This window comes from Homo sapiens, chromosome 2 (assembly GCF_000001405.40).
Source record: "Homo sapiens chromosome 2, GRCh38.p14 Primary Assembly".
NCBI lineage: Eukaryota > Metazoa > Chordata > Mammalia > Primates > Hominidae > Homo > Homo sapiens.
Window position 1 is genome coordinate 232,328,661 of NC_000002.12, and position 25,918 is coordinate 232,354,578.

A 25,918-nucleotide genomic window follows, 5' to 3' on the forward strand; every position below is an offset into this window, starting at 1 on the left:
AGGGCTGGGCATGAAGGCTGGGGAAAGGCAGGGAAGGCAGAGTCCCCCCAGGCTGGTCAAGGCCCCGATAGCCCCATGTCTCCCTGAGGGGGCGGCTTTCCCCATGAAGAGGGTCCTGGTCACCAAGGCATGAGGACATGCCCAAGGCTGGCCCATCACAACAGGCTCCAGCTCTTGTGCACATGTGTGATCTTCTTGTCCCACCAAAGGCGGGAAAAAGAAGTGCGTGGCCTCCTGCCCCAGATTTGGTGGTAGGGTCAGTGGTGCTGACCTCAGTGCTGTGTGATACCAGCCCCCCAGCCTTTGCCTGGTTCATGTCCCACATCGCCTATCGGTCCCCGCTCCTTCAGTCTGGGACCTTGGCCTGCTCAGTCCTTCTGTGGGGAGCCACATCCATTCACAGTGACTGTTGAGTCTAATGACAGACACCCAAGTGCTGCAAAGCCAGAGCAGCAGCCCCTGAAAGGGTGACTCTGGGGTCTCACCCCATCCCCACTCCTGCCCTGTCCTCTGGTGAGGGCTTCCCTCCTGCTGCCTCAGACTGTCCTGTCTACCCTCAGAGACCCTGTTGGGAGGCTTCCCTCCAACAAGGCACCGTCCCCAGAGGAGAAGGGAGCCCAGCACTCCTGGGACTGTGGGGTCCTTGGTCCACTCACCACTGCCACATGCCTCAGGGAGCCCTCAGAGCAGGGGCTGAGCTGGGGCCCCAGGGTTCCCATGCCCTGGGCGAGCATGGTGCCCTCTTACAGCCTGGGCTGCCCGAGTGTTCCAGGCATCCTGTCATTCAGCAGAGATCTTTCCTCGGTGCCTTCTCTGGATTGGGTGGGCTGCTGAGCTCTGGGGCTGCTGCAGTGAATTATTTAATAGATGGGTGCTTCCCTGCTCTCCAGGGTCCCCCTCTGGGAGAGCCAGCACAGGAGCTAACCAGTCAGAGGAGAAGGCGGTGTAGACCAACTGGTGCAGGGAGACCATGGGGGTGCTGGGCAAGACAGGGACTTGGCGGAACACATGAGATGAGGTAGCTGGGAGGTTGTCTTTAAGCTGAGACCTGAAGGGTGATTGATAGAGAGCCAGGCCGGCTGCAGCGTGGGAAAGCCTGCGCACCTGTCCCCAAACCCCAGCGGTCCCTCCCATCCCACCCACCCTCTGCAGGCTCGTGGAGGAGTTCATGCTCTTGGCCAACATGGCAGTGGCCCACAAGATCCACCGCGCCTTCCCCGAGCAGGCCCTGCTGCGCCGGCACCCCCCGCCCCAAACAAGGATGCTCAGTGACCTGGTGGAATTCTGCGACCAGATGGGGCTGCCCGTGGACTTCAGCTCCGCAGGAGCCCTCAATGTGAGTGGTGGGCAGGATTCGGGGGAGGCCCTGCTTGGGGGAAAGAAGAGAAAGACCTGGAAGGTGGGGTGGTCCAGCGGCCTCTGCTTCCCCCCAGAGTCCCTCCCCTTCAGCCAGGTCTCTCCTGTAGGGAAGGAGGCCCTGGGAGAAAGGGCCCCTCTGAGTCACAGGGGCCCTGACAGTGGGACCTGCCCCTTCACCAGGACTGTGCCAAGCGGGGGGACCCTGGAGGCCTAGCAGAGGGCAGGGGTCCTGTGGCCAGAAAGGGCTGGTCTTGGGCCCAGAGGCTTTCAGAGTCGGGGCTGGAATTGTAGGAATCCCGGGAATGTTCCTGGTGGGTACTTTCAGGTGCTCCCTGCCTGGGGCAAAGCTAAGAAACCCAGGGCCTTGGCTGTGGTCCTGGAGGAGGGAGACATCTCACCCAGGCCCAACCCTGGGAGGGGAAGGCAGGTGCCCCAGGCCAGAGAGCTGGAGCCCAGTGAGTCCAGGCCAGCCAGCAAAAACATGGAAGTGTGGGCCACAGGGTGTGGGCGGCTGCCCCCTCTCCCCACCCATCCCCTCTGAGCAGGGCTGAGCCCCACAGGCAACTCCTCCCCCCAGAGCCGGGCATGAGGTGCTCAGCGGATGACAGGGCCCAGAGTCTCTGCCCGAGCTGGACCACACGTCACATAGGTTTCTGGGATTTGCTTCTAGAAAAGCCTGACCCAAACATTTGGAGATGACAAGTACTCACTGGCCCGCAAGGAGGTGCTCACCAACATGTGCTCCCGGCCCATGCAGGTAAGGAGGGCCCAGCCCCGGCCTCCCCTGCTCCCAGGAGCACACTAGCCCCAGACCTGTGACCTCCACGTGCAAGCACAGGCCCCCACCGTTCCTGCCTGCTCTGGACATGGCTGGGTGGACGGGGGCTGCTCCTCCTCTGCCAGAGGGTGGGAGAGGAGGCCGACCCCAGGCAGCACCTAGGAGGGGGCACCCTGAGCCTCTTGAGTTTGAGCCGCTGTCTCCTGCTCACACTCGCTCAAGGACAGAGTGCCCTGGAGCTGAGGGGCTACTGAGACCTCCTGTCAGGCTGGGGTCCTGGAGGAGAGACAGGGTCCCATGTGGTTTCCTGTCCCAGGGAACACTCCGCAGCCTCCATCCCCACATGTGGAGTCCAGAACTAGCTGTCAGCCTCTGGCCAGTGTGGGAAAGAAGCGGACTTGGCCGGGGGCCTAGGCCTGGGCCTGCAGGGAGGTGGCAGCCTGTGGGGTGGACAGCTGGGCTTGCTCTGGGATGCCTGTCACAGCGCCCCAGGCTGAGCTTCCCCCATGCAGGGCCCGAGCATCCTGGGACCAGGACCCCAGAGGACCCTCGGGTCAGCGGGAGCAGTGGATGCTGATGGGTCGGCTCTGGGTCCCACCCCGGCCCAGGGGCAGAGACAGGCTGTATTTTAGGGGCTCGGTCACTCGGCAGATTCAATCTGTTCACAAGAACTGATGGCTTCAGCTGACCTCAGTGGATTTATTTTCTGACACTTCAAGCTCTGCTGGGTTTGAAGCCATCAGGGCCTGCTTGGGCCTGGTCACCGTGACCTGCCCCCAGTCACAAGTGTCTGCCCAGCCAAGCACCTGTGGCACCCACAGCGGAGAGGGGCTGGGCCGTGCCCACTGGGCTCTCTCTGTTCTACACTGCAGCGGCTCTAGGCCTGGCAGAGAAGGCACAGCAGCCCCTGAGTCCCAGAACTGCCTCTGGCTCTGCCCTGCTGGGGCCCCTCCCATGTCCCTGCCTCTGACGCCATCACCTCCAAGGAGGTACAAGCCAAGCTGGAGCTCCAGAGATCGGAGCCGCTCCGGAGTTAGCCAGAGCCCGAAAAGCCTGCATTCTCCTGGCTCGCCTCCCAGGGAGCTCAGAGGTGCCCTTGCCCGGGAATCCGATGGCAGAGAGTTACCAGGTCTGCGGTGCTCCTGTTCCTCAGCCCCGGGAACTGGGGTGGGGACAGGGCAGGGCAGCAGCAGAGAGCACAGAAAGGTGTGAGGGGGCACACAGTCCCCAGTGAGCATCTGCATCAGGACACCAGGGCTGTCCGAGGGCTGTCCCAGGGATGGCTGGGCCTGTGGGAAAGCCATGGTCCCCACCCATCCCACCCGACCCTGAGCCACCTCCACCAGCCAAGAGGGGCCAGGGCCCTTCATCAACCTCACCCAGGTCATCTGGGGAACTGGGCCACCACTGAGAACAAAGCCCAGACATGTCTGGGAGTGGAGGCTGTGCCCACCTCCCCCAGAGACTTGCCCCCGACTTAACCCAGGGCCCAGCAGGGGCTGGAAGGGAAGTGGAGTTAGGGAGCGGAGCAGGTCACCATCAGCTGCGCCCTGGATTCCAGGGCCCGTGTGCACAGAGTAACGGGAGCCGGCTGTCTGTCTGGCCAAGGGCACAGGAGGGTGAGTGTGTACAGCAGCCAGGGAGCAAGGGAGCCAGAGAGACATACAGGCGTGACCTTGGACCTCTGCGAGGAACCCGTTCACTCGCTCCCAGGCAGTAGCACTGGCCCTGACACCCAGCCCTGAAAGCTCGGGGACTGCAGGACAAACAGCTTCAGGGGCTGTGGCCCCAGCTGGGACGGGCTATGCGCTGGTCCCTAGAGACTCTCGGTATCTCCCCCTGCCCCAGTCCTGCCTCCTGCCCAGCACAAGGGCCTTTGGAACTCAGCCCTCTGTGTCTCAGCCCCCGGGAGGGTCAGGTGTCAGAGACGAGAAGGGCCGAGGCTGGCAGGCCGGAAACTGCCTCCCTTGACTGCTGTGGGGTGGAGTATTGGCGAGCACAGAGGTGCCCGGGTGAAGCGTGGCTTCAGCTGGGCGGGATCAGTGCCAGAGGGGATGAGGACGGCCCCGACCAAAGGTGGGCCTAGGCTGGAGAGGAAGCTCCAAGAGCCTGAGGCCCGTATTGCACAGGGCAGGGGATCGCATCCTGGGCTTTCTCTCCCTCCTCCCACTCTGGCCAGATGGGAGGATGGACGTTGCCTCCTTGAACAAAGACCCACAGGCTCCTTGGCTTCTGCTTGTGTCTCCAGCAGACAGCGTCTGCAGCCCCTGGTCCAACAAAACCGCAGGCGGCCTCCTCCTCTTCCTCCTCCTCATTGTCCTCCTCGACCACCACCACCTCCTCCTTCCACCACCTCCTCCTTCTCCTCCTCCGCTGTCGCCTCCTCCTCCTCCTCCTCCTCCTCCTCCTCCTCCTCCTCCTCCGCTGTCGCCTCCTCCTCCTCCTCCTCCTCCTCCTCCGCTGTCGCCTCCTCCTCCTCCTCTGCCTCCACCTCTGCCATCGCCACCTCCTCCTCCTCCTCCCCCACCCCCCGCCGCTACCTTTCTTTCTTCTTCCTTCTTCCTGGGCGAGAGTAGCAGCCCCGGCCCCATGCTGGGGAAGGGTAGGCCAGAGACTCTTCCCTCCTGGTGGTGCTCAGCAGTGACTCAGCAGGGACTGGACTTCGGAGGCTCAGCTCGTGCCCCCTACCCTGACAGCATCCTGGGGGTTCCTGGCTCCCTGGTCCTCAGCAGGGTGGGCTTGTCCAGGCCATTCTCAGTGCTGCCACCTTGAGGGCATCTGGGAGGCCCAGGCAGGCCAGATTTGTCTCCTGGAAAGGACATGGGTACCCCTGGGCTCTGCCCAGCCTCCTGGCCTCCCCCTGGGGCCCCTTGTGCAGCAAGGGCCCTGGCCCCAGTCCTCCCTGGCGTCACTCAGCAACCAGCAGCCCATTAGGTCTGTCCACACATCGCTGCCGACGGTGAGGCTGTGGGTGGTGCCAGCCTTCCAGGCCTGGCTGGGCAGCTCTGGGCTTGTCAGGCTCTGACCCATCCCGTCCCGCAGATGGCACTGTACTTCTGCTCGGGGCTGCTGCAGGACCCAGCGCAGTTCCGGCACTACGCGCTCAATGTGCCCCTGTACACACACTTCACCTCGCCCATCCGCCGCTTTGCCGACGTCCTGGTGCACCGCCTCCTGGCTGCCGCGTTAGGTGAGGGGTGCAGTCGGGGTCAGGGCAGACCTGGGCCAGCTCAGGGCTGCCCACCCCCACAGTGGGTGCTCAGTGGCCCAAGACCATTCTGCCGTGACAGCGGAGGTCCAAGGGTCGGGCGACCCAAGTGCAGGGGAGCCTGGCCTGGAAACTCTCCCTACGGGCCGGTGCTGCAGAAGCTGCATGGAGCCCACAGCCAGCCCTGGACACAGCCGGGAGGAGGGCGCTGACCTCGAAGGGCCGCTTTCTGCTGCCCTGGGAGCTGGGTGCTTGGGGTCCTAATCTGTCGGCGGGGGTGCAGCGCCATGCAGCCCATCCCCCAGCCATAGCTCTTCCCAGCCCCCCAGGCTCCCACTCTCATGCCTCACCCCCTCTTCCCAGGCTATAGGGAGCGACTAGACATGGCGCCCGATACCCTGCAGAAACAGGCGGACCACTGTAACGACCGCCGCATGGCGTCCAAGCGCGTGCAGGAGCTCAGTACCAGTCTCTTCTTTGCTGTTCTGGTCAAGGTGAGCCCTCCAGCCTGGTGCCCCTCACCTCCCTCTGGCTCCCGACCCTCCTGGGCACCTGCTCACCAGGAGGCCTCGAGGAGCCCAGGGCAGTGCCAGGAGGTGCCATGGCTGCAGCACTGTCCCTGCAGGAGAGTGGCCCCCTGGAGTCAGAAGCCATGGTGATGGGCATCCTGAAGCAAGCCTTCGACGTGCTGGTGCTGCGCTACGGCGTGCAGAAGCGCATCTACTGCAACGTGAGTGCCCTGGGAGAGCCCGGGGGCGGGCAGGGCAGCCCAAGCCATCCCGCACTGGAGGGGCACAGGCTGTGATGGGTCACACTCCACCCCTCGCTCCCCCAGCCCTAGCACAAAGCCCACCTGATGGGCCTTGCTGAGACGCCCAGCTCTCCCACCTGGGATGGTGGCTCCAGGCCCAGGGTCAGGCCTGGCCCCCTTCCCCAAGGACCCAGGAACCAGAGAGCAGGCCCCTCCATGGCCAGTACAGCTCGGCAGGGTGTGCAGGCTTTGGGGACTGTGTTTATAGGAACGTGAAGGAATGAAAGGCCAGCGAATGGTCCGTGGCCGCTTTGGAAACTGTGTCCCCTGAAGACAAGGAAGAGAGCTGTCCCTGGCTCGGCTCCTGCCCTGAGTGACTGTTGACTCACAGTTCTCTCTCCAAGGGGACATGGGCCTGTCCTAATGCTGCCTTAGGGGCTTGGCTCCAGCTGGCCCTGGGGTCTGCAGGTCACCACCTGCCTCTGTGCCTGGCTTTGAATTTCCTAACATCCAGAGTGCCCTGGGAGTACAGTGTCCAGCCCGTTGTGTGCAGTAAACGTGGTGTTCATAACCGGGAGCTGGGCAGAAGAGGAACGACAGAGTCCCCCTGCGGACCCTGGGGGCTCTGTATCCTGAAGTTCAAGCCTAGCTCACCCTGCTGTGGGCCCAGCCCTGCCTGCACTGACAGATGGCACCAGCAGGGGGCGCAGCGCTCCGCCGCCACAGTTCTCTGTCCCCACCTCAGTGCAGTCAGCCCTGGACCCCCCACCACTTGCCCCCCATAGCACACAGAGCCACGGGCCTTCCCAGCCCCCACCCCTGGCCCTTGGTCACTCTCACCTGCTGCCTCAGCTGAAGGTGGCCTGGCAGGGCCTCCCTGAAGCTCCCTCCAGCCAGGCAAGGGTGGGCCAGGGCCGAGGGCTGAGGGCCGCCTCCAAGCATTGAAGCCCTCCAGGGTGGAAGGGCAGGCAGCAGCATCCAGAGCTGAGGCCTGAGGCTTGGTGTTTGCACTCCAGGCACTGGCCCTGCGGTCCCACCACTTCCAGAAGGTGGGCAAGAAGCCGGAACTCACGCTGGTCTGGGAGCCTGAGGACATGGAGCAGGAGCCAGCACAGCAGGTCAGAACCCCTCTGTGTCCCAGCCCCCTAAGTCCTGATGACCCCTCTCCTGCCTCCTGCGGTGCCCCTCATTCCTTCATCTGTGTCCCCTGGGCTCCCCCAGCACTGCAGCCTCCCGGGTGGGGTTTTAGGGCCCTCCCAGCTCACCCAGACCCCCTCCTGTGGGTCCTGCTTTCTGGCACCACCTTCCCTTCCTTGGGGGCAACCACAGTGGAGAGAGGAGGGGCTCTGCCTGTCCCGCTAATGCAGGGGTGCTGGCCTTCTAGGGTCCTTTAGAGAACCTGATGAAAGCTATGAGTTTACACCCAAGAAATTGTCTGGAACCGTTTTCACCAACAGTGTGCCCTGAACGCGGACCCAGGCCCTCAGGTTGTGTTTCATAAGCCTTGGGAGCGCTCAGGATGCATCTGACTCCCCAACTCTGCCCTGACCCAGGGCATTCTTCCTGGAGGGGGCCCCCATTACAGACAGGCGAGCAGAGGCTTCCAGAGGCCGAAGGAGGGGCCAGGGGTCCTGCTGCAGGGATGGAGGCAGAGCTGCGCCTCGACATCAGGCCCTGCCATCCTTGTCCCCTCACGGCTGGGCTCTGCACAGGTCATCACCATCTTCAGCCTGGTGGAGGTGGTCCTGCAGGCAGAGTCCACAGCCCTCAAGTACAGCGCCATCCTGAAGCGGCCAGGCACCCAGGGCCACCTGGGCCCTGAGAAGGAGGAGGAGGAGTCTGACGGTGAGCCCGAGGACTCAAGCACCAGCTGAGCTCCACCAGCCGCCTGCCCCGCCTGCCCCGCCTGCCTGTCCCGCCACACTGGCTTTAGGACCTGTTGACACGGAGGGGGGTTTTTAATTTGGTTTTTAACAACTCAGGGGTTTGTTTTTATTTTTATTTAATTTTTGCAGCTCAACTTTTAAACAAACTGCAGGGGAGAGGGTGGGGCTGGAAGGAAGGCTGAGGCCTGGTCAGCAGTGACCCCAGCAGAGCAGGCCCCAGTCCTCCTGGGAGGCTGGCCCCCCTTTTTTCTGGGCCCTACTGCCCTCCTCTGCCCAGGAAATGGGGGGGTTTCAGCAACTCAGTGTCACAGAATAAAATCAAGTGTGGAGTGCCATCTGGTGTGTAGGGCGCCTCTGGGAAGCCTGGGCAGCAGAATGCCCCTTGCACCCAGGGCAAGGGACCCAGTTCAGGCTTCACCCCTCGCTGCTGAGCCGATGTCAACACCTGGAACTTTCCTGTCAGTTCCAACACGATTCAGAGCTGGCTGCCTGGCAGATGATTGATACTGGAGTCTCATTCTGCCTGATTAAAAATGGAATTAGTATGCAACACTGAGAGCGCCCCCATCACCCTGACGAATGTGACTGTGTCTGACGAATGTGACTGTGTCCAACCCTGCCCCCACTTCCTCTCTGCACCAGCTCCGCAGGGCCTGGTGGGAGTCATGGGTCCTGTGATACCCCCTCCCCTCAGTTCCTCAAGCAGCACTCTGTGAGGTCCTGTGCCCAGCTCTGGTGTGAGTGGGTGCCCCGGCAGCACCAAGGGAGCCTGGACAGAGGAGCCGGCCTGGGCCTGGGGGAGGGGAGGAGGGCCCTCCAGTGCCTTCCAAACCAGGAGGGGAAACTGGCTGCTGGTGACACAGCCTGGGTGACACGGATCCCACCTGCCTCAGTCCCGAGCAGAGCTGGCTGGCCACTGGGCAGTCCCTTCCCCAGCCAGCCTGACCCCAGCCTGTACTCCTTCCCCCTCCGTGGGGGAAGCTCCGTGGCTTGGCGTCCCCGAGAGCTGCCAGAAACTAGGATGAAAGCCATGGTGAGCACGGCCTCTGTTCCCCTGCACCATTTCCTGGGGTGTCCGGATTAACAAGCTCATTTGATCTGGTTACAGTGAATTTTCTTCAAAGAAACACTCAATAGGGTCCCTTGTCAGAGTGCCTCGCAGCGACAGTGACTGGGTACTGCTGCCTTTGTCCTGCCACCGTCAGACGGGGCTGGCTATGGGAGGCAACCAAAGACATCCCGCACCTGCCCTGGGAGCCTTTCCCTCCTCCAGGGCTCAGCCACCTCAGGCGGCCTTCCGTCTGTGTGTCCTGCCACCCCCGAGATGTCCCAGAGGCCACGGTCACCCCATCTGTTCCTGTCCCCAGAACCTTCTCCTGGAGCCAAGTATCTGCAGGGACAGACAGGCGAGCGTCTGGGGGTTTGGTGTTGGGGTGGAGAAGGCTGTGGGGTGCTGCCCCAGCCCAGGCAGCCTGACTGTGAGAGCCCCAAACAGGAGAGCCCCAAACAGGAAGGACCAGGGCCCTTCCCCTCCCCTCCATGCTGCCCACCCTCTGAGGAGCAGTGGCCAAGTTCCTCTCTGGGCTTCTCGGGCCAGGCTGACCCTGTCCCCCAGGGCCTCCCACGAAGCATGGGAGCTGTTCCCTCACAGGCAGCACAGACCCGGACGGACACCTGTCCCTATGTCCCAGCGCCCCCAGGCCCCAGTGAGGAGTAGCCAGGGGGGTGAACAAGGGGGTTCCTGCTGCCTGGGCTTGTTTGGGAAGCAGATGCTGGGCTCAGAGTTTCTTCAGAGAGCCTCACCTTCCGTGCTGGCCCCAGAGCATGGCGGGTCCCTGGAGCTGTGGAGGCCATGGCAGCCCCAGCCCACCCCACCCCATCTGGGGAAGTGGAAACCGTATCCACGAGGGTCAGGTCAGGTCTCTGCCTCCAGTGACCTGGCAAGGTTGTGCCCAGCCAGGACCTGGGCTCAGGCCCAGGCAGCCGCCACACCCTACCCAGAGCTCAGAGAAGGCAGCCCAGCCTTCTCCCCACACCAGTCACACCGAGCCCCGCGTCTGCATTCACTCCTTTAAGGAACATGGTTGACTGAATCCGGTGCCGCGCATTCACAGGATGGCTCTCCATGGGTCCACTGGGGCCCAGCCTCTTATGTGGCCCCTCGCTAAAAGGACTCAACAGAAAGAGTGACCAGGCACCGACCCTCATCTAAAGGAGGACTTGGCCATTCCCTGGGCTGTCCCACAGCACCTGCCGGCCAGGGCCCGGGCACAGAGCGAGACTGTCTTTTCCTCAAGGAGACACCGTGGGGGAGGGAGGGAGAGGTAGACACCACCAACCTCATTCCATGACCAGGGCCTGGCGATGCTCAGAAGCCAGTGAGTGTGTCCCTGCCCTGAAGGGTCAGTGCTGGCCCCCTGGACCTAGGGGGAAGATGGTGCAGGCAGTGGCCCAGCCTGAGGAAGGAGCTGAAGCTCTCAAGAGTTTGCAGCCACCCTCCTGGGGAGAGACTGACGCCTCCCCAGTTCCTGTTAGGAAGGACCTCAGGAAAGAACTGGAATTACACAGCCTGGGGTGGCAGCCTCCTGGTCCCTGAGGAGGATGTCAGGCCGCAGAAGGGAGGAACGGGCATGAAGCTTGGGAAGCGGGCGCCAGAGGAGGCGAGGCCTCTGCAGAAGCAGCACCAGAGGCCACTGCAGCGGCTCCACCACCCAGCAGCGCCGCCAGGAGGCAGGAAGTGGGAGGCCAGGCAGGAGGGGCTGTGATTGCCCAGGTGCCAGGAGGAAGGGCTGAGAGGGGACAGTGCAGATGTCCAGAGAGGCCTGACAGGGACAGGCTGCGAAAGTCACGGGTGGGGATGGGCTTCCGCCAGAGTTGTGTGTGGCCTGAGGACAGTGCAGCAAGGAGGCCCCATGGTGAGCACATGCAGCCGAAGTGACAGGTTGGGCTCCTTTGTGGGACAAGAGCCTCTCCAGGCCACTGCAGGGTGTTCAGAGAACAAGGCCTACAAGGATCTGCTGTGCCTGCAGCTGGGCAGTAGAACACTGAGCATGCAGGGCCGGGGTGGGAAGCAGGAAAGCCACATGGACGAGAGAGCCGGGCCTGCCCAGCAGTGCCTTTTGGGAGCGCAGGCAGGATGGGATGTGCAGCTGTGACCTGCCCGGCATAGAACTCCGTCTGGCTGGGGAGAGGAGGTCTCTTCTAGCCAGAATGGACCAGGAGGTCCCGGGAGGACCTGGGAGGAAGTGGATTGAGTTGGGCCTTAGAAGGAGAGCCAGGAACAGGCCAGGTCAGGGGAGCTGGAGCCTGGCTAGGTATGGAGAGAGCAGGGTACACTTGCTGCAACTGTGAGAAGAGCCAGGGGTGGCCCTGGTGGCCTGGGCGCGTTTAGCTGTGCCTGGGGCCAGGCCTGACTGGCTGCAAGTCATTACTATAGGCGGAGAGTGCAGAGTAGCGCGCTCCTGCTGTCACTCCCTCCTCCAAGTCCACAAAGAGGCAAGAAAGGGAGGATTTTAAGGCCTATCCATACCGCATGGCAGGTGAGAGCAGAGGAGCAAACAGCACTTTTGGATCCTGGAAAGCAGAAGGTGAGTGTCCCAGGCGTAGCTGACCTGAGAAAGGCGACTCCAAAGCCAGCAGCAGCAACAGCTGGAACTGCCCCAGCCTGCACCACGGGACCCCCAGCTCTGAGACTGAGAGCAGCTCTGGGGACCTCTGGGCTGGGGTGAAGAGGGATGGCTGGAATCATTGTTGCAAACAATTCAGTAGGCAGGCAGCTCCCTAGATCCCACCGTGGTCTGCAGAGGCCAGCACCTGTCCCGACCTCTTACTGGTCGGCCCTGGAGAGCCATCTCCTACAGAGGCAAAATGAACGGTCTCTGGGCCAGGACCAGGCCTGTTCAGGGGGATGTGTGGCTAAGTGCATAAGGGATGCTGAGACTACAGCCCTCGTGCCCAGGCAGCGCTCAGGGCATGGATAGCCAGGCCCTCCCCATCCAGGCCAGAGATGGGAAGACTCCATCCAATCTCATTCCATGACCAGGGACTGGCAAAGCTCTCAGTTCTCTCTCCATCCCAGCAGGAGACAAAGAACCCAACCTCAGAGATTCCTCAACTCGGAGACCCAGCCAGGCCACCCTCCAGAGCATCTCAGTCTGCAAGCCCCTTGGTGTGCTCAGAGCTTCCAGTCACACTGCTCATGCCTATCCGTGCACAGCCAGGGATTGCCCTTCGTGGAGGAAAACTTCATGAAACAAAAAACAAGCTCCGTGGGGAACACAGACCATAGAGGAAAAAGAAAGCTGTAGAAAAAGAAATGATGAATGCCTTCCTGGAGGTGAGAAAGCCATCGTGAAACGAGAGGAGGTTGCTCCAAAAAGTTCCTAGAGAGCAAAACAAGGGCCCTTGGAGGCACAATGATTGCCACCGTGGAGACACATTTCAGCGCCACTAGAGTAAAAACACTGCAGACAGGTGAGCTCTCAACAGATACATGTCCCTCGCCTTCTCAGGAAAGATGGGCAGTAATGAGGGCAGAAGCCACAAAGAGGAAACCGTAGTGACAGGACCCAGGGTCCTTCAAGCTGCGGTGGGGCAAGCGCTCGGGACAGTGGTGAGGGAGCAGCTCAGCCCCAGGTGGTGCCTGGCAACCCGCCCCGGGACGTCCCACCCAGGGCAGCAGTAGAGTGACATGGATAGAAAGCTGAATTCCCCAGAAGAGCCTGGAGGACATTGAAGTACTTCGCATAGAGCCTCGGGTTGGATTAGTAGTACATACAGAATGATCCACATGTGAAGATAAGACCATGATTGGCTCCAGAGAAAACAGCAGTGCAAGCAAGAAGAGGTAGCTAGTCACAGTTTACGATCTGGCAATAGCGTTTACACAGTCATCACCATAGAAATGCCGAGTCAGGATCTAGTTTACTGCAGAACTCTATCAGGAGGACTGGAAGATGGGGACGCTGTCCACATGCAGGGAATGCAGTTGGTGAAATGGAAGCTAAATGCTCATTTTCCTCAGTGGGAAGCTGTGGCTTGAAGATGACTGTAAACTCTCTTTCCGCCTCTTCAATCTTGACAGGCCCCAGGGCTGCTAAGCTAATATGGCAGAAGGGACACTGTGCCAGTTGCAGGCCCAGGCCTTAAGAGACTGGCAGCTTCCCCTCTCTGTCTCTGGAAACCTACCTGCCCTTCTGTAAGGAAGCCCAAGCAGCTCTGGAGAAGCCCTTATGGAGGGGCCCACTCTCAGCCCACAGCCAGCACCAGTTGGGCAGCCACGCAGACCCCCAACCTGCAAGCCAGGCCCGCTGAGGCCTCAGTACACACAGGCAGTCCCATCAGCCCTGCCCAGATGGCAGTTTTGTGATCAAAATATAGACGATAGATGATTGTTTTTTAAGGTTGTTGGGGGTAGTTTGTCACACAACGATAGATAATAGAACATCAGTAGGCTGTGTGTGTGTGTGTGTGTGTGTAGCATATATATATACACATATACATATATACACATATACATATACACATACACATATATACACGTATACATATATACACATACATATATACACATATATACACATACATATATACACATACACATATATACACATACACACATACACATATACATATATACACATATATGCATATATACACATATATACATATATACACATAGCTTCAAATTCAGACATGAAGAAGTATCTTATTTAGCAACAGTGGTAAATAGTAAAACACCAAGAGAGAGGAAAGTGGTTGCCTCAGAGATGGGAAAATGCAAGGAGGGAGACGGAACTGCTGTTTGTTTTAACAAACCTTGTAGATCTGTTTGATACTTTAAACTACATTCACATATAACTTGGACAAAAGTAAAAACTGAAGTTGAAAAAAATGTATTCATGCTAATAGCACAGGAATGATCCACAATTGGATTCCAAGGCTTCTTGTACATTCAGCATAGGGTGTATGAAAGAGTCCACTATTCTAGCAACAGATAAAATTCCTACTGACACGCAACCTCAGGTTCCCACTCGTTTAGAAGGCTGCGTATGGTCTTCTACTTAAAGCCTCAAGTAGCAGTCATGGCAGTGACAAATCCTCATTGCCTCCATAGAACCTCTAGGCTCATGTGTGAGCCCAGGCTGGGCTGGGGCCCCTGGGAGCCCAGGGTGAGGGGCCAGTCCCTGGGCAGCTCCGTGAGCCAGGAGCAGCTGTGCCACCTGGGGAAGGGCTGCACGGTCGATGGGTCTTTTCTGCAGAAGAGTGTGCCCCAGCCCTTGCTGGGCACAGATCAAAGAGGTGTTCATGGGTCGAAATCACAGATTTCAAGGGCTGATAGGAGTCAGAGTGGGGGGGCTGGGAGGGCTGAGGCAGGTTAAAGATTTGAGAGGGGCTGCTGTGTCCACAGCTGCATCACACTGCTCTGCTGTCCCCTCCATGTTCCCCGGCACTGCCGCCTACCCTGGGGTCTTCTGGAAGTAACTGAAGGCCCCCTCAACCTGGCTCATCATCAAAGCAGACTGTTGACTAGCTGCAGGCAAATATGAAGAGGCTATTTCCTGTCACAAAAAGGCCATGCTGTATCTTTCTGAAGCTATGGAGCTGACGCAGGCTGAGTAGGCTCACCTTTCACTGGAATTGCAAAGGCCTAGCCACATGAAACCGCGCCTCCTCATCCAGGAGACACGGAAAAGGGCCCAGCAGAACGCAGACAAGGATGGGGCTGCCCATCTTCAGGCCTCTCACAGCCCCTCTGCTGAAGATGCAGAAGCACAGCCCTCCACAGAGGAACGCCTGCCTGAGACTCGGGGCATATGTGACAGGGATCCAGACACACGACTGTTTTTCCTTCAGCAACAGAGCCGTGTATTGGAAGCAAAGCCCCAAAACACGATAAGAGTAGAGGAGCAGACAACCCAGTTGCAGATTTGAAGAAGCATGTGGAATTCCTTGTGGCGGAGAAGGAAAGATTATGGAAAGAAAGTAAACAGGTAAAGGCTGAAAAGGCCAGACTTCTAAAAGGTCCAGTAGAAAAGGAGCTGGATGTGGGTGCTGATTTTGTGGAAAAGTCAGAGTTACGGAGCTCGCCTCTGCATTCAGAAACTGCTATACCCTCTTCAGCCTTGCAGAGGTTTGCAGCAGATGCCAGGAAAGCCAAGTACATTCCAATACCCAATCTTTTCCCTCAGATTTTCCATCTCCAGAGCTTCCCTTTATGGAGCTTTCTGAGGATATTCTGAAAGGATTTATGAGTAACTAAAATGGAAGGCCATAGAAGAAGGGAGAAGAGGAAATAATACTAAGTCATACAGTTAATCCAGCAACAAAAAATGAAAAGGGAAAGCCACAGGCAAGGGTAATCCTGGAAATGCCTCGTCATCTGGTGTACTGTAGGAGAAGACGCATTGCCAGGATGTGGGGAACAGTCGCTGTGAAGCGTGTCACATACCTGATTCACTGACTTGAGCTGATGATGCCGACCTGGCAGACACTAAACTCGTGGAGGGTCAGTTTCTCTTGACACCAACCAAATGGCTGCCTGAAAGAATTTTTTCAAGCAACAATTATTTTTCTTATCTTCAGGGTTAAAATGTATAAAAGTATGTTATGTATAATTAATCTGTTATGTCATAAGTGATCATGCAAAACCTAAATATTATGGCAGCCTGAGGGGCTGCTTCGTATTTGAAACATGCTTTGTCTCAGGCGTTGACGTATGTATGCATTTTGTTACTGGCGTTTTGTATAAGGTGTGAGACACACCTTTCCAGATGAAACCATATGTGCCGCACTGTGCACTACTCATAACGGTGATAACCTCAAGACCATCAGGAGAAATATTTAAATTTCCGTGTTATGAAGAAAGAAACCAAATTATTAGTTATGCTTTTTAACACAAATTACCAGTTTACATAATTAATGAGGGTGCATTTTAAGTTCTAACTTTATTGTATAAGGCATCATTTGAAAGTACCAAGGAAGTCTTCTTTGTTTTTAGTGATCCGTGAGTGGAAGGAATTCTAGTTGGCAGTATTTGATTGTAAGAAATCAATAAAGTAATTGTGTTTAAAAAAAAAAAAAAAAGATCTGAGCCCTGGTGGAGGTAACAGGATGCGATGGTTTTCACATTCAAGAAGGTTCTGGAGAAGAGAGATGATTCTTGGAATGATGAGCTTCAATTTGCACATGCCTGAGTTTAGGTTCTGAATTTAAACCCTTATTGTAAGATCATCTCTTTGAACCTTCTCTCTTTTTAAGGGTTTTTACAGTTCAGTGGCATTTTTTTTTAATATTTAAAAAGTCATTTTAGGAGAAACATCCATTTAAATAATTTATTTTACTTCAGAAAGTTGTTTTACTCAACGAGGATCATGAACTGAGTTGTGTTCTTTAACATTCACAAATTGTGTATTGCTTGGTTTTGGAAATTAGTTAGCCAAATAATTTAAAAAGCACCAGAAATTGAAGTGCAAAATAGAACAGGAAAGAGAAACTCTCCATTAGTGTATTCAGCTTAACAGGTTTTCAACCCACCAGGGTGCTGTTGGAATACAATTGTTCTCCTGGTTCTTATGATACAAGATCAAGGTTAAACCACTGAATACAGTTACAGCATCCTTGACTTCATAAGCTTTCCTTTCCATGCATCCATATAGATGCCCAAAGCACCATTCAGGGCAGAATTTAGTCTTTCGTCCCGCACTCTCAAAGGACAACCAGGAGCTAGGACTTGGCTGAACCACCCACCTACCAGGTGCCCCTGCCTGTGCCACCATCCTTGGGCCAAGGGGAGGCCTGGCCCCTGCCACCTCAGCGATGGTGAAGGATCAGCCCACTTGGGGCCCGGGGCGCCTGGCTGAGCGCCCCCTCCACTGAGCCCGTTCCTGTGCCCCCAATTTCCCACAGGCTGAGGCCCCAGTGCCCTGCTCGTGCTGCTGAGGGGGCTGAATGGCCTGTTGAGAGGCCTCCCCAGGAAGCCCATAGGGAGGAGGTTGGGGTGTCTCCTGCCTTGGGGGTGGGACAGTCCCTTCTTGTTCCCACCCCAGGTACCTGACCCAAGTTCTCCTGTGCATGAGGAATGCCTGGATGTCCCTCCTTGGTAGGTGGGATGGCCCAGAGGGAGGTCCTGCCTACACAGCCCTTAATTAGGAATTTAGAGATTTGTGCTCTAGGAAGGAGCTGCTTCCGCTACCATTTGGCCAACTGTGTGCTGTGCAGACCCGCAGCTTGGAAACAGGTTTCAAGGATGTTCAGGACTTGCCTCGTGTTCATAAAGGTCAGGGGTCGCCTCTTCCCCCTGCTCCCCTGCTAACTCTGCAGCAGGCCCTGGACTAATTAAGTCCCCGCAACAGCCCCGAGACCCAGGCTCTGTGAAAGTTGTCAGAATCAGAATGGAGCCACTTCTGTCCAACCCTAAGAGCAACAACAAAATCATGCGGCCGGGAGGTTCTGAAGGAGGGCCCTCCCGCACACCTGCCTATGATCAGAGCCCTTCCGAAGCCTCTGGGAAGGGCACAGATGCCTGCAACAAGACCTTTTGCCAGGACTTTACAGGACTTTGCAGCTCACTACGTGAGTCACAAGGACGGCTAGCCGGCTGCACAAGAACACTTGCCTGATACGCTGTGTCCACTCGTAAATTGACGTCCACTCCTGGGATAAGCCCCTGGAACCAGTGTTCTCTTCCTTTCAAAATAACCATGTAGCCAGACTTGGTGGTGGGTGCCTGTAATCCCAGCTACTTAGGAGGCTGAGGCAGGAGAATCACTTGAACCCAGGACATGGAGGTTGCAGTAAGCCAAGATCGCGCCACTGCACTCCAGCCTGGGCAACAGAGCAACTCAAGAAAAACACCACCACCACCACCACCACCACCACCACCCCCAAAAAACCGACCATGCACTGCTCCTTTCACCTTTCAAAGCCCCCCTTGCCTCCCCTCCTCCGATGCGCCCCTAGTTTACTAAGGCCGGGGCTCTGCATGCAGTGCTGCTGCTTATTCCCAGTTAAACTCCATAGTTTTGGAGAGCCTCCCTCTGTTTCTTGAGGTTGACAGGACTATCATTCTTTTCGTTCATAGATGAGGGAATTAAGGCTTGGAGAGGTTCCGTTCTGAAGGACACTCAGTAAGTGGTGGACAGAGAATTTCAGCTCAGATCCAAAGCCTATTTAATTTACTTCTTTTAAATCCATGCTTCTTAGCACTCAGCTAGTCACGTATCACCTTGACAACTTTTTGCCGTAGCCACATTACTGCCTGTGGTATGATTTGCTGAATATTTTTCTCTACATAAGCTCAGATTTTCCTTAAATCTGTTAGGAAACCTATAACTGAAAAATGGAAGACCACTATCTCTTGCCGTAAACAGAAGCAACTGTGTATTCCACACACACCAAAAGCAATGTTCTTACAGCCTCCTTAGATGCTCTGAGTCTAAAGCATGCTTTATCTTGTTAAAGGGGGGATGGCAAAGTTAGGGTGATAGTGAAGACATAGAACCAACTGAGATTCTCTCCTTGACATTATCAGAAGGGTTGGAAGACAATCAAAAAATAACCGGCTGGGAGCGGTGGCTCATGCCTGTAATCCCAGCAGTTTGGGAAGCCAAGGTGGCCAGATCGCTTGAGCCCAGAAGTTTGAGACCAGCCTAAGCAACACAGCAAGACCTCGTCTCTACAAAAAATACTGGCTCCGCAGGAGGCTGAGGCAGGAGGATGGCTTAAACCCGGGAGGCCAAGGTTGCAGTGAATTGAGATCACACCATTGCAGTCCAGTCTGGATGACAAAGCTAGATCCTGTCTAAAAAATAACTTTCTCATCGTGAAGTTTAATACTATTTAATGTCTTGTCTGATGGCAGCTAAAACATGCCCCATACCACCTAATCTGGAGTACCACACTTTGGAAATAAGTGTGTGTCACATTTTGGAAAATGCTGATTGCGATGAAAATGGGAAACATGGCTGGAACCCATCATCTAATCCGGATCACACTGCATCACTGCATAGTGTTCACTCCTTTTTCTGTCTTTGTTTTTAAGATATGTCACACACGATGAAGAGTGCAGAAAACAGAAAGGTATGGCCTAAAGAAGAATTACAGAATTGAACACCAAAGTAACCGCCACCCAGATCAAGAAATTGATTGTGGCCAGGGTTCCCCCACACCACCCCATACCTTTCCCATCGAAAACACTATTCTTTCTTACCACTGAATTTTTTTTCTTTTTCTTTTTAAAGATGGGGTCTCACTATGTTGCCCAGGCTGGTCTTAAAACTCCTGGGCTCAAGCAGTCCTCCTGCCTTGGCCTCTTAAAGGGCTGGGATTACAGGTGTGAGCCACCACACCCGACCACCACTGAATATTTGGATACTCATTTTATTTTCATAGTTTTTTTGTTTTGTTTTTGAGACAGAGTCTTGCTCTGTCACCCAGACTGGAGTGCAGTGGCATGATCTCGGCTTACTGCAGCCTCCACCTCCCGGGTTCAAGTGATTATCCTGCCTCAGCCTCCAGAATAGCTGGGATTACAGGCACATGCCATCACACCCAGCTAATTTTTGTATTTTTAGTAGAGACGGGGGTTTCACCATGTTGGCCAGGCTGGTCTTGAACTCCTGACCTCAGGTGATCTGCCCACCTCAGCCTAGTTACTGGGATTACAGGTGTGAGCTACTGCACCCAGCCTCTTTTCATCGTTTTATCCCCCATATAGTTTAGGTTTGCCCCATTTGAACTTCATGTATGTGTAAGATATATTCTATCCTATGTGTTCCTTTGTGATTTGTATATTTTGTTCAACTTTATGTTTGTGAGATTTAATCTGTTGTATGTTAGAAAAGCCTGGTCATTTCCATTGCTGTATAATATTCCAGTTATGAAACTCCTGACACTTTTTCTGCTGTTGATGAGCATTTGGGTTTTTCAGTGTCTGGCTATTTAAACAATGCCACTTTGCACACGTTGGTGCTTACATCCTGGGACACGTGTGCCAAGTTTCTGCAGGACACTTTCCCGGGATGGAATTGCTGTATCCTGGGATGTGCACAACTTGACGTCCTGAATGATGCTCTTGAGTCTGGTGTGTGGGGCGCCTATTCATCCACCTCCCTCCACCCTACTATGGGTGGATTTTTAGGTCTTTGCCAACCTGGAGTCTGTGATACCTTCTCCACCCCACCCCAATGTGCTTTATCCCACATTGATTGGACGCCTTTTCACACATTTACTTTTGAACTCAGCCTGAGGTTACCAAACCCTCTGGTTGAGGCTACACCTCTGGGTGTGCCCAGGGCTGCTGGAGAATAGACTCTCCCTGGAGCTTCATCTACCTGTGCAAGGGAACGGGGTCAAACTCAAGTGTACAAGCTGCTCTAGAAGATGCAGCCCAGGCCTGGCTGGCCCAGGGCACTGGTCCCTCCCCCGGCTTCCTCCTCCAGGAAGAGGTGTGCACACCCACAGGCGTGTACACGTGGGCAAGGCTGGCCCAGCCCAGGCTGCAATCATGACAAAGACAAGGCTCCACTTAATGTTGTCACCACCTGCCCCACCCTTTCCCACAGCACTGGAACTCTGGGCCCAGGCTCCTGCCAGCCCCACCTGTCTGGGCCATGGCCGGTGAGAAACCAAGGGGTGCCAGGGCTGCCAGACCACCCTACCTACCTACTTCCCGCTGTCTCCAGGACTCATGGCATTAGGAGGCCAAACCCACACTGTGGCCTGGGCTGTGTGCTTCGAGCTTCACCTCCCTTCAGCACCAGAACAGGGTCTGGCTGTAGGTGGCTCCCAGGAAATACAGAAAAAATGGGTGAATGAACAAGTGACAGGGTGTCTTGTTCCACACAAGACACAGTGAGTGGGAGTGGGGGTGGCTTCTGGCTGCAGGATGCACACTGCCCTCACCCAGATGGCATCTGCCCCCAACACCCCATTCTTGCCTGGCAGACACCGGGGCCCACCCTGAGCTGCCTTTCTCAGGACCCCAGGCCAGGCAAGCCACAGCCTGCCACTCCCTTCAGCCAGTGTGGCTTCAGGTCACCAACCTGGGGCAGGGTCAAGCTGGCAACAAGGGAAGGGGCCGGGACACAGTCCTCCCTGATTTAAACTCTAATCTCAGCGTCTGTGCAGTCCAGCTCCTCCAGGCGCTGGCCCAGGACATACTTGATGTCTTCCACCAGCTGCCACACCTGCAGAGTCGGGTCGGGGAGCAAGGGTCAGCCCAGCAGCCTTTCACTCTGGTCCATCGCTCCTGGCATGAGGAGTGTCCCCATCTTTAGGCACCACTTACAAAGCCCAGAGCTTGGTTCTGAGCACCAAGAGGAAACGCTGGAGATGGGGATCCAGGCCCTGCACCCCCGACAATAAGCTCAGAGGCTAGAAGAGGAAACTGCCCCAGTAACCACCCTGGACATCCCTTAAGGCCATGCCTCCCGAGCAAGGCTGAGAAGGCTGGGCAGGGGCTTCGTGGAGTGGGTCACCTTCCGCTGACAGACCAGGTAGGCTTCCTGGAGGAGGAGGCCTGTGGAGGAGCAGCCTGGAGCCTCAGAATAGGCTGAGCCTTTAGCAGGGCCTGGTGCTACTGGCTGCAGGGGGACGTGTGGGGCTCCCCTTGTTAGGACCATGGCCTCAGGAGGGATCCACCCTCAGTTCAGCACCAGCCTCCCCACGTTAAACCAGGGTAACCCACCTTGGCAGTCGAGAAGTGTTCATGTACAAAGAGGGCACCAAGTGCCATACCAAAGTGGTGGTTGGCCTGGCCCAGGCAGACCTCGGCCAGCTCCTGCAGCTTGTGGCTTCCCTCTGTCTCCCGTGCCAACTCCTGCAGTGCCTCATGGAATGGCAGGGACAGGTGCTCACTCAGAACCACCACCACGCGCCACACTAGGTAGTTGTGCAGGATCCTCGGGCCAGGTGAAGCCAGTGGATGTCCAGACAGACGTGCATATGGGCCACCAAGGGCACCACCCCCACCTGTGCCCCCCAGCCTGTGGCTGGACCCAGGACCCAGACAACCCCACAAAGAAGGGGCAGGAGGTCATCCCAGAAAATGCAGAGCAGCGGGGAGAGCCAGGATGTCAACCTAGGGCTCTGGATTTCTATTCTAGTGCTCAACAGCTGCCTCCCTCAGTGTGGCTACCGGACACAGGTGGAGGTGGGAATTCAAAGCCCACCCAGCAGACAGGTCCTAGAGGCCGGTGGACAGGGGCTAGCGGATCTGCAGCCGTCCCTATGGGGTGCGGAGTGGATGAGCTGGGTCACCTGCTACACTTAGTCCGTCGCCAGCACTAGCACCTCCTCTTCCTCTGAGAACCAGTAAAACTCCTGGCACGGGTCGATGCTGGCATCCAGGTTGGCCGCCAGGAAGCGAGCGGCGCGCGCGAAGGCCTTGCACTCGGGGCAGGCGCCGCCGCCCGCCGCGACCGGTCCAGGTACCTGAGCGCCAGCAAAGCCCCCAGGATGGCGCAGAGGCCGGCGGCGAATACCAGCCCCGACAGCAGGCTCACCTCGCGCGGGTTCCAGAGCTGCAGCCCGGCCCAGCCCCGGTGGCGCTGCTTCCCGAGAGAAGCCTGAGGGGCAGAGAGGCCCCGCACAGGCCCCCAGTGCCTCAAGTACTTGACCTCCTGGAACTCGTGGTAGTGCGCCCTCAGCGAATACCGGGACTCCAAGGCGCCGAGGCCGCCGCGGTGCAGCCCTGGGCCACCTGGGCTACGGGATGCGCGCGGCCGCCGGCCTCCTCGTGGGCCTCCGCTTGGCCCCGGGACGCAGCTGCGGGAAAAACAGTGTCAAGCTCAGGAGGCGCCGCAGCCTGACGGAGCTCCCGGGCACCATGAGGAGGGACGCAGGTCTGGGTACAGAGGCCCCAGCTGCGGACCTCATTCACCGCGGAAACCAGGGACGAGGAGGGCTCGGCGGGGCCACGAACCCCGCGTGCACAGTGGAGTCTTCTCCCCTGTCCCCTCCCTGCACACATGTGTCGGTCCCTGGGTTGGGAGGGCCTTGATGGGAAGCGGGAGGGGCCGGGCACGGGGCCTGGCACGTAGTGGGCCTTCATTGAAAGGCCATCCCTCTTCCCTTCGCCTTTCTTGTCCACGACCTACCCCAGCCAAGGCCGGGTGGGGTGAGAGGGAAGGAGCCGAGGCTGAAGTGAGGAGGTGCGGTCAGGGGCCCGTCTATGCAGCACTTTCAGCTCTCCGCGCTGGACCCAGACAGACGCTCCACAAAGTGGCCAAAGAACCAAACTTTGTCCTCGCAGAAGTCCGCAGGATCGACCACTCCAACCCCGCTCGCTGGCTCCTTCTACTCGGTGGCCCGACGGCTCACCCGCCCCTTCCTCACCGGCGCGCGCCAACGCCCCAGGGTGGCGAATACACAGCCCACCCTCTGGACGGCCCTGATGGAGAACCCGAGACCGGCTCAGTCTCCCCGACCCTCGTCTCTGTCTCTGCCCCGGGCCAATCCCGGCTTCAACAGGTTCTCCCCAGAACCCAAACTTGGGTGAAGTTTCACCCCCTCGCGGGGCGCGGGCTGGCCGGGTGCGCCCGGAGTCCTGGAGCCGCGCCGCTCAGTCCGTGGAGCCCGAGAGCGAAGCCTGGGAGCCGCAGCCTGAGCCGCGAGGAAGTAGATGAAGCCAGGAGGCTCCGCGCAGCGGCCGCAAGGGCGGCGGAGGTGGCCGCTGTGGTGGCCACCTAGCCGGCAGGTGCCCACCCAAGGCAGGACCTGGAGCGGCGCCGTTGCCTGTGTCTCTCAGCGCCCTCTGCCTCTTCTGCCTCACCCCCGCCCGCCCGTCGGCCCGAGGAGGGGGACGCGATGGCGGCTCCACCCTTCTTCGCCCGCCCCGCGCTCCCCTCCTTCCTTCTGCGACCCTCGGGCCGCCTGGCACAGCGGCGGCAGCGCGGACGTGGGTTGGCGGCCGCGGAGACAGGCTCCCGAGGGTCGTGCGCGGGTTGCAGTCGGTGACTCGGGGTCCAGCTGCGTCCCGGGACAAGTGAAGGCAGCGGGTAGTCCCGGGAGGAGTCCCCTCCGATCCCAGGTCCCCACTCGGAGCCGCCCACCAGCCTGCTGGAAAGGGGCTGGAGCTACGCAGCTGGGGGCCGTCATGCCCCAGCCCACAGCCCTGGAGCACCGCCCAGGGAGGACTCCTCCTAAAGGATAAGGGGGCCCTGATGGAGTGCCCGGGCTGCCCGCACAGCGCCTGCGCGGAGCGCACCTTCACCAGGGAGCTTCCTTGTCCTCCTGGGAAACCTTGTCCAGGATCAGCTCTCCCCGGGGGGTCTGGGCTTCTGGTTGGCCTCGCCCCCTTCCCCCAGCTCCTGATCCAGGGAGAGCAACGGAGAGCCCTGCCAGAAGAAGGCCTGGGCCTGCGAGTGCGGCCCCCATGGTACCAATGCACAGTTGACCCAGAGCACAGCAATCGCGGCCAATAGGAGGTGACGTGGGTTTAGCCTCTGACCACACAGTCCTGGTCACCCTGCACAGACTGCCTTTATTGGGGGCTCCGAGGCCCAGCTCCTTGGCTCTTCTGCAGTTTCACATAAAGGGAAGCAGCCAGCCCTCCGGCTCCCTCACTCTTTTGGGGTCCCCCACCCCTAATTGCTAAAGTGACCCCTTGACTCACAAGCAAGAGAATGATAGGCCACAGCGGTGCCCAGCTAAACTCAGCCAAGCCCTGAGTGAGGCAGCTGGATACGCAGCGTGGGTGTTGGCGGTAGGGGCTGGGGGCAGTGGGGGTGGAGGCTGTGGCCAGAGCTGCCTTGGAGAGAGAAGGCCCAGGAGGGTGCAAAGGGCAGAGGTGAGAGGTTCCGAATCCCAACCTCCGTCTCCTCCCTGAGGAAGGCAGATCCCAGCCAGTCTTGCCTGTGAAAGTTGTCAGAAACCAAATGGAGTCACTTTTCTTAAAAACTCTGACAAATAGAGGCAGGAAAGGCCATGAGTGGAGAGTCCTCGGGCACAAAACCTGATGAAAACTATCACAAAAGACTGCAAACAACCACTTGCGCAAAGGCCATGGCAACCTTCACAAAAAATATACACACTTTTGCAAAGACATCTGCCCAGCAACTGCCTGTCCAGCCTCAGACTGGTGCCACCCGTGTCCTGGTAGACAAGAATAATCGTCACAAAACAATCCTGTGATTCTCCCTTTTCCTTTAAAAACACATGCAGACACATACTTGAACACACATGCACACACACATGCAGATGCCCACACATGCACACATGTGCATATACACTCACACGTGCATGCACACATACATGCATATACACACGTGTACACACATACACACACACACAGGGTGGCTCCCCCAGGGGACTTTGCCATGCCTCATTTTGCCCATCTGTAAAGGGGGTGATTATAGCCCCTACTGCATGATGCTGCCGTGGGGCTCCGTGAGTCCGTACCTGGAGGATGCCTAGGACGGGGTCTGAACTAAACCTGTACAGTCCCATGGGGAGCTGAGTGGAGAAGGTGGGCTTTGACATGGGGAGCAGAGGGGGCAGTGTGGAAACCCAGGGAGCCTAAGGGTCTGGGCACCTGTCACCTAATAGGAGGCCCCAAGGGGCCCCTGGGGAAGAGGCACCGACCTCCTTGTGGCTGGTAAGGGAACAGGGCTGAGGCCAGGAACAGGCCAGTGAGAGCCTGCAGGGGCCAGGGAGTGTGACAGCCAAGGACCCTCAGGGCACTAGCCTGCTGAGGACCCCAGGCCACACTCAGGCCTGGGCGAGGGACTGATTTGGGGACTCCTTGAGGTTTCTGACTCAAGTGATTGCACATGAGGTTAGGAGTTCGAGTCCAGCCTGGCCGACATGGTGAAACCCCGTCTCCACTAAAAATACAAAAATTAGCTGGGCATGGTGGTGCACGCCTGTGATCCCAGCTACTCGGGAGACTGAGGCTGGAGAATCACCTGAACCCGGGAGGGTTCAAGTGAGCTGAG

At 57.7% G+C, this 25,918-nt stretch overlaps 1 protein-coding gene and 2 pseudogenes across 4 annotated transcripts in view, besides 5 other annotated features; 2 read left to right on the forward strand and 1 right to left on the reverse strand.

Moving 5' to 3' along the window:
- Nucleotides 1-15,690, forward strand: part of DIS3L2 (DIS3 like 3'-5' exoribonuclease 2) — a 382,638-nt gene extending 366,948 nt beyond the window's left edge. Inside the window, exons 15-21 of one of the 4 annotated variants that reach the window (NR_046476.2) lie at nt 1,226-1,336; nt 2,030-2,116; nt 5,180-5,327; nt 5,709-5,839; nt 5,971-6,075; nt 7,113-7,214; nt 7,809-8,532. Coding sequence is in view for 2 of the 4 variants with exons in the window: in NM_152383.5 (NP_689596.4) it covers nt 1,153-1,336; nt 2,030-2,116; nt 5,180-5,327; nt 5,709-5,839; nt 5,971-6,075; nt 7,113-7,214; nt 7,809-7,970 (919 nt within the window). In the remaining 2 variants the exon portion in view is untranslated. Of the gene's footprint in view, nt 1-1,152; nt 1,337-2,029; nt 2,117-5,179; nt 5,328-5,708; nt 5,840-5,970; nt 6,076-7,112; nt 8,533-14,684 lie in introns of those variants that run through there. The other 3 variants (NM_152383.5, NR_046477.2, NM_001257281.2) reach the window with 3 other exon arrangements.
- Nucleotides 915-1,888: an enhancer, noted in NCBI's record as "H3K4me1 hESC enhancer chr2:233194285-233195258 (GRCh37/hg19 assembly coordinates)". NCBI's record gives its function as "activates a minimal SCP1, AML or CMV promoter by ChIP-STARR-seq in primed H9 embryonic stem cells {active_cell/tissue: H9 hESC(primed)}" and the evidence as "EXISTENCE:reporter gene assay evidence [ECO:0000049][PMID:30033119]".
- Nucleotides 4,299-5,098: an enhancer, noted in NCBI's record as "H3K27ac-H3K4me1 hESC enhancer chr2:233197669-233198468 (GRCh37/hg19 assembly coordinates)". NCBI's record gives its function as "activates a minimal SCP1, AML or CMV promoter by ChIP-STARR-seq in primed H9 embryonic stem cells {active_cell/tissue: H9 hESC(primed)}" and the evidence as "EXISTENCE:reporter gene assay evidence [ECO:0000049][PMID:30033119]".
- Nucleotides 5,099-5,898: an enhancer, noted in NCBI's record as "H3K27ac-H3K4me1 hESC enhancer chr2:233198469-233199268 (GRCh37/hg19 assembly coordinates)". NCBI's record gives its function as "activates a minimal SCP1, AML or CMV promoter by ChIP-STARR-seq in primed H9 embryonic stem cells {active_cell/tissue: H9 hESC(primed)}" and the evidence as "EXISTENCE:reporter gene assay evidence [ECO:0000049][PMID:30033119]".
- Nucleotides 8,299-9,098: an enhancer, noted in NCBI's record as "H3K4me1 hESC enhancer chr2:233201669-233202468 (GRCh37/hg19 assembly coordinates)". NCBI's record gives its function as "activates a minimal SCP1, AML or CMV promoter by ChIP-STARR-seq in primed H9 embryonic stem cells {active_cell/tissue: H9 hESC(primed)}" and the evidence as "EXISTENCE:reporter gene assay evidence [ECO:0000049][PMID:30033119]".
- Nucleotides 14,181-14,690: an enhancer, noted in NCBI's record as "H3K4me1 hESC enhancer chr2:233207551-233208060 (GRCh37/hg19 assembly coordinates)". NCBI's record gives its function as "activates a minimal SCP1, AML or CMV promoter by ChIP-STARR-seq in primed H9 embryonic stem cells {active_cell/tissue: H9 hESC(primed)}" and the evidence as "EXISTENCE:reporter gene assay evidence [ECO:0000049][PMID:30033119]".
- On the forward strand, nt 14,369-16,051 carry NRBF2P6 (NRBF2 pseudogene 6; annotated as a pseudogene).
- On the reverse strand, nt 22,290-22,755 carry ECEL1P3 (endothelin converting enzyme like 1 pseudogene 3; annotated as a pseudogene).